The 11,600-nt window shown below is 48.3% G+C and overlaps 1 long non-coding RNA gene across 3 annotated transcripts in view; it reads right to left on the bottom strand.

The window, feature by feature from the left end:
• The window catches only part of ZNF295-AS1 (ZNF295 antisense RNA 1), a 15,727-nt gene continuing 4,127 nt past the window's right edge, over positions 1-11,600 (bottom strand). The window contains exons 1-2 of one of the 3 annotated variants that reach the window (NR_119385.1): positions 2,710-2,917; positions 1-615 (exon numbers count right to left, since the gene is read on the bottom strand). This is a non-coding gene — a long non-coding RNA (ZNF295 antisense RNA 1). Of the gene's footprint in view, positions 616-2,490; positions 2,653-2,709; positions 2,918-11,600 lie in introns of those variants that run through there. The other 2 variants (NR_027273.2, NR_119384.1) reach the window with 2 other exon arrangements.

Raw genomic sequence — 11,600 nt, 5'->3', positions numbered from 1 at the left:
TTATTTTGAGATTTTTCAGTGGCTGACACTTCATTATCCACATGACATTGGCTCTTTTTCCTTTCACAGTATTTTTTAATTTCACGGAGATCTGGGTCAGCCTGTGGGCGTGGGTAGCTTGTGAACCACCATCAGTGGGTATGCTCCAAAGAGGCTCAGTATTGAGGACGACTGTCCTATCCATCCAGAGTGTGATCTAAGGCCGTGGAGAGAGGGTCGGCCAGGCCCAGCCACAAACAAAACACCCATAAGATCTCAAGTCAGTATCACCTCCCTCCTGGGAGGAAGGCTCGGCACAGGCAGGACCCGGGGAGGAGGGCTGGGGAAGCCACCCTGGCCTGGAGAGGAGAATGGGAGACAGAGGAAAAGGGAGCTTGGTGAGGCTCCAAGTCACAGCCAAAACCCGACAAAGTGAGGCACAAACTCGTTTGGGACACAGAGGAGAGCAGCACCCACAGCGTGGTGCCACCCAGAGAGTCCAAGACGACGATGGTGGGGCTAGAAGACGACGGTGGGACTGGAAGACGACGGTGGGGCTGGAAGACGATGGTGGGGCTGGAAGACGACGGTGGGGCTGGGCCGTGTCCTCACACCACATTTTATCTTTCATAGATCCTAGAAGACAAAAGAAGGCAATACATGTTTGCTAAATGAACAAATGAAAGGAAGAAGCCCATACAGTCAAAACAGAAGAAGTTTTTGTGCATACACGCTCGGCCCTAATTCCTTCACTCTTCCAGCCATTAAGGAAACGTCACCCAGTAGTGGCCGACACTCAGCAGCTATTCCAACACACTCTTCAGTGGCTGCCCAAGGCTTACAGTGAAATCTATTCTTTAAAATTTGTTAGTGAAAGTTCTTGAAAATGCCTCCCCAGCCGTTTTTAGCCGTTTTCGTGAGAGGTGGTGTTCTGGGTTGAATTGCATTCCACCAAAAAGATATGTTGAAGAAAAGATACATACTCACCCCCAGTACCTAAGAATGTCACCTTATTTGGAAACAGGGTTCTTGCAGATGTAATTAAGTGATGATGAAGTCATGCTGGAGTAAGGTGGGTCCTGAATCCAATGACCAAGGACCTTATACGAGGAGAGATACAGAGAAACACAAGAAGATGACCATGCAAAGACAGGCAGTGATTGGAGCACGGCTGGTGCCTGCCAAGGAGTGCCGAGCCTTGCCGGCATGCCAGCAAACTGGGAGAGGCGAGGAGGGACCCTACCCTGGTGCCTTCAGAGGCAGCATGGCCCTGTAAAATCCTGCACCTGGATTTCTGGTCTCCAGATTGTGAAAGATGCATTCTGATGTTTAAGCTCCCTGCTTGTGGTAATTAATTACATTGGCCACAGGAAACTAACAGAGACCCCAAAGAAAAGGAAGGGAAACAAGGGGTTTGAATCATCACTCCAGTTGAGAATTGAGATTTTCTCAGGCCTTCCTTCGAAAAGATGTAAGTCTGGTTGAAATGGATACAGGTAAAATGGCACAGAACAAGTCTGTGCCCTAAAGAACAGGTACTAATACTGAACCCGTTGGGAAACTCCAATTCTTAAACACGGCACCTTTCACAACAGCCAGTGCTCTTGCGGTGTTTACATCATGCTGGGCACCTGGCTGTTGTCTGCATACTTTACACTCATCAACTCAACCCTTCCACAACCCATGGGGAGACCGAGGCACAGAGAGTTTAAGTAACTCACTCAAGGTCACACAGTTGATCGCCGGCGGGGTCAGGATGTGAGACGTGGGCCCACAGACTTTTTTTTTTTTCAGGGTCTCACTCTGTCACCCAAGCTGGAGTGCAGTGGTGCCAACATGGTTCACTGCAGCCTTGACTTCCTGGGCTCAAGCGATCCTCCCGCCTCTGCCTCTCATGTAGCTGGAAACACAGGCGCGCATCACCACGCCCAGCTAATTTTTTTTATTTTTTGTAGAGACAGGATCTTACTTTGTTGCCCAGGCTGGTCTCAAATTCCTGGGCTCAAGCGATCCTCCTGCCTCAGCCTCTAAAGTGCTGGGATTCTAGGCGTGAGCCTCCGCGCCCGGGCACAGGCTCTTTCTTAAGCACTAAGTGATGTTGCCTGTATTCGTTTTCTGGGGCTGCCATAACAAATTCCCACAAACCAGGTGGCTGAAAACCACAGAAATGTGTTCTTTCAAAGTTCCGGAGAGTAGAAGTCCAAAAGTGAGGTGTGGGCAGGACCACCCTCCTCTGAAGCCCCCAGGAAGAATCCCTCTGCACCTTGCCCAGCGCCCCGCGGGCGTCTTCAGTCCTTGGTGCTCCTTGGCTTGGAGCAGCAGTGCCCCAGTCTTGGCCTGCATCTTCATGCGGCCTCTCCCTGTGCATCCCCCAATTATAAGGTCACAGCATTGGATTTAGGACTCACCCTAATCCAGGATGACCTCATCTGAACCTGAACACATCTGCAAAGACTCTTTTTCCAAATAAGGTCACGTTCAAACATACAGAGAGTTTGGGCTTCAATCTACCTTTCTGGGGACTCAACTCAGCCCACCACAGGGCTCAGGCCTGCCCCAGGAATGCTGCGCCCTCGGGCTGCTCCAGGCTGGAAGGGGGCAGGAAGCAGAGCCGGCCTCCAGGGCTCTGCCAGGGGCCACACTCCAGCCCATGCACTGGGGACCGGAGAGAGCCCAGCGGGAGGACAGTTGGAACAGAGGCTCTGACTACCGTGGGAACAGCTCACACACCTCTGTGCCGCTCTGGGTGTGACCTGTTCCGTCCCTTCACTTGATTTGTCCTCTGTATCTGGAAGCGTCCTCTCCATAGTGCAGCGGTTTCCCTGCCAGGCTCCCGGGTTATTCCCGATGATTTGCTTTGCTGCCCAGCACAAAGGCTAGCATTTATAGCCACTCTCCAGAGAGACCCCCCCAGACCCAACTAAAGCAGAATCACAACAGAAGCCTAGAGAGGTTGCCTGGCAACGACTCCCTATTGTGCCTGTTGTGACCTCGCCTTCCCCGGCCTCCTGCAGCGCCCCTGCGCACTGCCACTGTCATCAGCCTGAGGTGAATGCCAGTGTGGGGCTTCGCACGGCTCTGTGCCCTGTCCCCTTCACCCCAGGGGCTAAAGACCCTGGAGGAGCTCGGAATCCCAGGCTTCCAGAGCCTGACTCCTGCCCTTTGCCCACTGCCCAGCAAAGTCCGGGCTCTACGTTCCATCGCCACCTGGTCACCCGGTCCCTGCCCTGTTGTTCCTCTTTTGCAGGACTTGGCTTGGCTCTCTTGTCCTCAGTCCACGTCTTGTCTCAAACAAAGGCCCTCCCCAGACACAGTACGCTCCCCAGTAGTGACATGTGAACAGCCACACATCCCTGATTTCCAGGGACACTTGTGACTTCGCGTATTCACCCTCCATTTTAAAAAGTCACATTTCCCATGAAGTGCTGGGTACAGCATTCAAAGCGCATCTCCTGGACTGCTGTGTGCTCTGGGCAGCTGCCAGAGGAGACCGTGGCAGGATGTATGCCACTGTCACCAGATGAATAACCCCTTCTTAGCATACGTTGCAATATAATCAAATCCCATCGTGCCTGTTTGGTGATGTTAATTCCAGAATTTTATTTTATTTTTATTGTGGTAAGAACACATGAGATCTGTCCTGCTAAAATGCTAAGTGTCCACCGCAGCATCGCGACTATGGGTGTGATGTCCTGCAGCGGAGCTCTAGAGCTCATTCATTTGGCTTAATTAAAACTTAATGCCTGTTGAGCAGCAACCCTCATTTCCCCTCCGTGAGCTCCTAGCAGCCACCTTCCCACTCTTTGGTTCTATGAGTTCCACTACTTTAGCCACCTCATATAAGTGGAATCCTGCAGGATTTGTCCCACTGTGACTGGCCTGTGTCACTCATCGTGTTGTTGTGTATTGCGGAATTGTCTTCGTTAAGGCTGAATAGTATTTCACTGGCTGTACGCACCACGCTTTCCATTCGTTCACATGTCGATGGACATTGGGGCTGACTCCACATCTTAGCTGTTGTGAATGAACGTGGGAGTGCAGACATCTCCTGGAGAGCCTGATTGCAATTCTTTTGGATAAACACCCAGGATTGATTAATGCAGCTGTGGCAGGGGTTCAATGGGCAGGCGTGTTGGGGCTGGGGGCAGGGTTCTGCGTAGAGCTCCGGGGCAGGCACAGGGCATGAAGAAGGAAAGTGGGGAGTGAGGAAGCGTCTCTCTGAGGGTAGGGCTCTGGTTATACCTGGTCCCCCAGCCTCAAACCGTCATTGTCGCAGGCTCCTCTCAAATCCGATGAGCCACAGGCCTGCCCTGGATGCTGGTGTCCATACCATCACCACTGTCTTGTTCAGGCTGTTTAATTCCTCCTTGCCAGCATTGCAGAAGACCCCCACCTCCGACCCCACTTCTAATCTCTTCCTCTCCTTTGAACTTCCACAAGGAGAAGGCTTGTGGAAGGCTCAAAACCTGAACATGTCTCTCCTGATTTTGAAACCCCACCCTGTGTTCTTGTTACCCAAGGGGAGTCCATACCTGGACACATGTGCACAGAGGCCCCCACCTGTCCATCCTCAGCCCTCACACCAGGGCTCTAGCTGGGCCCCAAACCCTCAGGTCCAGAGTGTCCTCTGAGCCCCATGCCAGGCCTTCTATCTAGAACTCCCTTCCCGATGCCCATTCTTTCAAGTATTCACTGAGCACCTGCCATGTCCAGGCCCTATCCTAGGTGCCAGGAATACACCGTGGAACTGATATTTGGGTGGGGTAACTGACAGTAAACAAAGACACAAGAACACAGCAGATATTGGTAAGAGCTACAATGAGTCAAATTCAGGATCAGGATGGGAAGAACTGAATGAAAGAAGGAGACACAAGAAGAACAAAGAGGAAGGATATCCCAGGTGGAGAAAAGAGCCCACACAAGGCCCCTGGGCAGGAGGGAAGGCAGAGAACAGTGCAGCTAGAGGTGGTGAAAGGGACAGCAGAGATGGTCCGGGGCTGGGTGCCCCCGGAGCAGGCGCTTCCTGCAGGAGGTAAATGAGGGACTGCTCTGGGCTCAACACCTGTGGATGTCCACAAGCACGGAGACTCCATGAGGGCAGGAATTTCTGTTCTGCTTACTGAAGTATCCTAAGGGATGGAACCATGCACACAGTGTGTGTCGGGAGTGCAGCACCATGAATGATTGAATGAGTGAAGACAAATACATGACTCCGGGATTTGGTCACACAGAGGCTACTGGTGACCCTGACAAGTCGTGGAGACTCCAGAAGACTGACTGGCAGTCGGGAGGTGAGATGGAGACAGGGACACATAGGCCTTGAAGGGGACACAGCACACTGTGTTTAAAGTGTTTGCACACCCCTGGGCTGATGTGCTCCCTCGGGTTGGGGCCTGAGCCCCATGCGTCTCTACACCCTGCCAGCCAGCATAGCATGCAGCCGCCACTTGGCACGTGCTCAGTGAATGTTCATCAAACACAGGTATCACGTGATGAACAATCAGGAGCTGACCAATGTCACTTCTCAGAATCCAGCAGCCACCACTGGTCACACAGCCTACCTAAGGGCAGGAGGCTAGCCATGTCAGTATCATGACTGCCCTGACGGGGAGGGAGATGACCCAGAGAGAAGCACAGAAAGTCTCTGCTGCTCTCCCCAAAAGCAAATCCCATTCCGCCCGCAAATACCACAGGAGCCCTCACCCGGGGCCAGGTGCACACCTGCGTAGGAGCTCATGGTCTACAAGTAGAGACAGCTCATAAGCCAACATTCCAGCCCAGTGCTTTAAGAGAGGTGTGTCCCGGGTCCCCAGGTGTTGGTGGGTGCTGCTCCAGTTGAAGGGATCAGAGAGGGAACTACAAGGCAGTAACACTTGCCCGTGGCCTAGAAGGATGGGCTGCAATTCTCCAGCCCACCTGCCCTGGAGATAGGACAATGCTACACTCCTAGGGTGTTACTGCCTTCTAGTATTGCCTAGTGGTAACTGCCTTGCCCAACTGGAGGATCAGAGAAGGGCAACGGTAAGGTCTGTCTTCTGCACTGTAAAATCCTTCCACAGAGTTCTAGTTTTTGCATGTAAAATCTTCTGAGTCATCAACATATTAGAAAACTCTGAAAGATAATTTAGAATTTCCTGATTATCAAAGAATCTCCATCCCCCCTCCATTATTATAACTCTATGGTCAAGTTTTGGATCCTCACTATAATTCAGTAATGATTTCCATGACCAAAAATGATTTTGAGGTTGTTAACTGAGCGAGTATCATTGGGGTTAACTCAGTGAAGCCTCGGAGTAGCGATTCGTCTCAGTATTGCTGATTGCCTTCAGTCACGTGCTGCTGGGCCTGTGCTCCAAGGGGCTACAGTGACAACACATCGCAGTTCCACAGTGGGGACGACACTGGAAACCTCCCGTTCAGATCCTGTGACGTGCGTCAACTGAAGCTTCTTCACTTCCAATACAATTAACGTCGATTCTCGGGCCTGAAGGCATTTCAGTTTCAAAGTTCTTTGCAGTAGTTCAACTTTGCTCTGTGATATTTTGTCTTTTATAATATATTTGACGTAATTTTTGCGTGTTTATGGTCTTTTGACATTTTTGCACATATCTGGTCCTATTCAAAACCTCTGAGCAATGTTATTCTGAAGGGTAGCTTACACCTGATAAAACAATTGGTGTTTTTTTACTGTAGCTTTATTGTCATGGTGGCCGCCTACCTGGTTGTTTCTTTGGTTGTTGGTTTTCGTACCTGAATCGAGGATAGGCCAGTCACTGTGCTGGCCAGTAAAAGACAGTGAATGCAGAAATGGGGATTTCAGTTTTAACAGAGAATTCTGATGAACTAACTTCAAGCCCAGGAGAAAGAACACAGGGCTTAATTTTAGAATAAGTATTACATTGCTGATAATATGGTCTAGTAACAATACTACCTTGATAACCATGCCACCGTAATGAAATCAAATAATCACTCCAGTCCACTGATTGCAAGGACAGAACTAAAGTTAAAAAGGAAGTCAGATTTCATAGGGATGTTCAGACATTTTTCCCCCTTACCACCCTTATCACGTGCCCTAGTCATCTCATTTTTCAAATTTAGTTGATTTTTATAAAGCACAATTTGGGGGAATATTTCCAAGAGTCATTTAAAATTCCAGACTTAGGCTGAGCACGGTTGCCGATGCCTGTAATCCCGGCACTTTGGGAGGCCGAGGCAGGAGGATCACTTGAGCTCAGGAATTCAAGAACAGCCTGGGTAACATGACAAAACCCTGTCTCTACAAAAAATACAAAAATTAGCCAGGCATGGTGGTGCACGCCTGTGGTCCCAGCTACTTGGGGGACTGAGGCAGGAGGATTGCTTGACCCAGGAGTTGGAGGCTGCAGTGAGCCATGTTCGCACCACTGCCCTCCAGCCTGGGTGACAGAGTAAGACCCTGTCTGGAAAAAAAAAAAAAAAAAAAAGGAAAGAAAATTCTAGAGTTATTATAGTCAACAATATGTAAAACAAATTAAATATGCAAACTTCGTAAAACCTCAGATGACATCACTGTGGTTCTTGATCATTGGTCTTCACCAGCTAACAATTTTTAAAGTGCTGCAATATTAACAATTGGCCTACCTCAGAAAGAAAGCATAAAGAGAACTGAGTTTCTATTTTTAGACATAGTAATTTCACAGATATCAGAGAAGCAGACAGTGTACCAAATCAATTGAGTCACATTTAAAAGGAGGGGTTGGGGGACGGGGAGAAAGGCTGCTCTATAATGGAGAAAACAGATTAAATCATTTGACCCAGTTTTTGTGAGAGTGCTTTATAAGCAAACTTCAAGTATAAGTTCTATAATGTTTTATTAAATCTAGTTCTAAAGTGGATGTTTTAATTCAAATTTGAGGGTATATATTTATTAAGATATTTAAATGTATCAAAGTTATAATATAAGCATGCCAAATATAAAAAAATAGATTTTGGAAATAAAAAAGTACAGCAAACGCTTTTTAAATCAAATCTAAACGCACATTCACGTCTTTCTCAATCAGGTGATTCATGAGTCAACAAGGCTGACTCTTAACAAAAGGAGTAAAGCTCTAAAATCTCCAAGATTTAAAAGCAAAAACAAACAAAAACCAGCTATGCGTTGTTGTTGTTTTTTAATAGCTTTTGGATCGGATAATTTAGTGAGTACTTTTCACCACTGATGCATTATGTGTGCAGGGGCTCGTGAAGCTTGATATCCAAACTGAACAAACGGCCTTGGCTGCTCAGAACATCGTGGGAAAGAAACACCACCATTCGCCTTGCAGATGCACCATCCGTGCTTCCGTTTGGAAAAGGCCACGTAGACGAATGCCTTCTGGTGAGTTCACCATTCTCGCCCACAGTCTGATGTCCCAGGCTGTGAACCCAGAGCAGCCACTGTCAGCCCCCTCAGGCCTGTCCAGGAATCAGCAAAGCCTCTGTCTGGGGCAAAGCTGCCCCCGCTTTTTTTGTGGCCACTGCATGGAAGGGGGTAACTGATGGACTTCAGCACTCGTCCTCGTCAGGCCCCGGCCCAGGGAGCTCGATGCACTGAGAGGACCAAGGCCTGGCACCACCATCTCCAGGCTCAGGCCAGCTGCATCTGGGTCCCTGGCAGAGGCAGAAGAGTCTCCCCTCCTCTGTGCCTCATAACCTTGAGAGCATACATGTCTCCAAGCATTTCCCACTTGTATCAATAGTTTGTGTCTATTTCCAGGAGACAGAGCTGGTGCCATTTCCTTGAGGTTAGAGATCATCTGGTAGTCACCTTTACAGTCCTTGAGGGTAGAAAGGGGTAGCCCCCTTTCCTGGTGTGTAAAATGGGAATTATTCCTAAAAAGCAGGATCACGGTGCAGATGGGATCACAGTTGAGGACATGTAGCAGATAATTGTAACAACAGAAGCAGTCACTCTTCACCCCACTTCACAGCTTTGGGGATGTGGAATCCATCTTTTTTTTAACCAAAGGATGCCCATGGTGCAGATCTGAATGCAACGGTCTTCCTTACCTTTCATGATAGCAACTTAAGGAATAGCACATAAGAATTTTCTTAATTCATACAAAGTTTATAATCAAATAGAATTACTACTGTTATTACACACACACACACACAGTCCTCTCCCAATCTTAAGACAAAAGGGTTTCTTAGAAACTGGTGTGGATCTAATGCCATCCAAGTATTATTGGTGGCGTTTGTATGCTGAACTGGAAGGATATCCTCCAGGCATCTGCTCTTCAAGAACAAGGATGGGGTGGCGAGAAGAGAGAGGAAGAGGCAATTACGGCCTTTGGAGAAAACCAGCACTAATGCTTCTGGCTGGGAGGTCCTTAAGCTTAGTACCACTTTTTGTTTATGATAATGTTTACAGATAGGGCTTCTCAATTATGAGAACCCAGTGTGATCAACACTTAATCCCACCCAACTTCAACCATGCTGAAGAGGCACTATGGCCCGGGGCACTCCAGTTCTGAGCACGCGGAGTGATATTCACTGTGAAGGTGGTTGTTGGAAACCATTTACACAGCAACCCAAAGTGTTACTACCTTCCTCACTTTCCCCACTTCCCATTCTCTTCTCTTTTTTCTTTTTCTGTTTCACATACTTTTCAAAGGCCTTCCCATGCCGCTACACAGGAATACTGTTCTTATCTGCAGTAGGCTGACTAATGACCCTTAAAGATATCAAGTCCTGATCTCTGAAACCTCCAATGTTACCTTATATGAAAAAAGGGTCTTGCAGATGTAATTAAATGAAAAGATCTTGAGATGGGGAGATCATGCTGGATTCTCCTGGTAGGCCCTAAATGCCTTCCCAAGTGTCCCTTTATGAAAGAGGCAGAGAAGGCCAGGTGTGGTGGTGCACACCCATAGGCCTAGCTACTTGGGAGGCTGAGGCTGGAGGATCACTTGAGCCCAGAAGTTCAAGGTTACATGAACTATAAGTGCACCACTATACTCCAGCCTAGGCAACAGAGCAAGACCAGGTGTCTAAAACAAAAACAAAACAAAACAAAACAAAACAAAGAAAGAAACAGGTAGAGGGAGATTTGACAGACAGAAAAGAGGTCATGTGAACACAGAAGCAGAGATCAGAGTGATGCAGCCACAAGCCCAGGAATGCTGGCAGCCACCAGAGGCTGAAAGCAAGGCACTTTCTCTATATCCTCCAAGGGAAGTGTGGCCTTGCTCACACCTGAATTTCCATCCCATAAGACCAATTTCGGACTTCTGGCCTCCAGAACTGTAAAAGAGTAAGTTTCTATTGTTTTAACCCACCAAGTTTGTAGAAAGCTATTACAGCAGCCACAGGAAACTAATGAATTTTTTAAAGAGATAACCACCCAACCCATAGATTGGGCAAATCTGGACAGCCAGGTACCCATTCCAATGAAATGATGGTTAAGAGAATCACAGCTGATTAAAACTTCCCGCTTCCAAATATGAAGAAGCAGATATGTTAAACCCCATAGAGACTTCCCTCCCCCAAATTATAAAAGGGCTGTGTTTTTTTTTGTTATAAGAAATGCAAACCAACTTAACAGCATGAACACTGGAGAATCGGCTACCACTGTAACAGTTTCAGAGAGAAAACTCTAGCCATCGGGAACAGATGGCCCAGGACACAGCCCTAGCAACAGGTCCAAAGCTCCGGGCATACACAAGTTAACAGACATGGTCTCTGTGCCAAGGGGCATGCAAACTAGTGGAGAAACCGGCCTTTGAGCAGATGGGAATAGGTGAAATAGATGGTATAGTGGAATCACTGAAGCGCAGAGGGAGGCAGCCTCGGTCTGACACTTGAAATTGGATTTGCCTGCAGATTGAATAGGAAAAGGCCATCCCAGGAAGTGCCTATGCCAGACTACATGGCTAGAGGGGTTGGCAAAGGCGAGGCAAGCAGAAAGCAAAGCCACCTTGGCAGCACTGGACAGGCCATGCCCAGCTATGAGGCCGCAGGCATCTGCAAGCCACATGGGAGGGTGGGTGGGTATACAGCACCAATGCAAGTTAACCCGAGTTGCATTTGGAAAGATAAATTTGATTGAAAACGCACTAGGCTGGGAAGGGAAGGAAGCAAAACTGAGGCAGGAACTTGGTTGCAATGGCTACAGATTGGACAGAGCTGCTGCAGGCCAGAAACAGCTGAAATAAGGCTGGTAAGGACAGGTTTAAGTGGCATTTAAGAGGTAGATTGATAGGACTTAGTGACAGTTGAATGCAGACATTGAGAAATAACCGTCAAGTTTCTGGCTTGGGTAGCAAGGCAGACAGCAGCATCTTTAATTAAGTAGGACACAGTCAAGGATGGAAAAAATGGTTCAAGGGCAGATAGAATGTCGATAGGAAGTCCAGCTGTGAGCTTGCTGTGTGCACAGCTGTGGGTTGTCCGCAGGGTGTCTAATGAGGTGGCTGCATAAACAATGTGCATTTTGTATAAAAGAACATATGTGTCTATGGTGTGAGAGATCCTGTTTGGGGTGCTTCAGTGTACGGCTAACACTAAGAAGTAGAGGGAGATTTGACAGACAGAAGAAGGCCATGTGAACACACAGGCAGAGATTGGAGTGATACAGCCACAAGCTCAGAAATGCTGGCAGCCAC

This window comes from Homo sapiens, chromosome 21, assembly GCF_000001405.40.
Source record: "Homo sapiens chromosome 21, GRCh38.p14 Primary Assembly".
Lineage (NCBI taxonomy): Eukaryota > Metazoa > Chordata > Mammalia > Primates > Hominidae > Homo > Homo sapiens.
The sequence above is the reverse complement of the archived record's forward strand: the minus strand, read 5'-3'. Positions and strand labels throughout refer to the sequence as shown.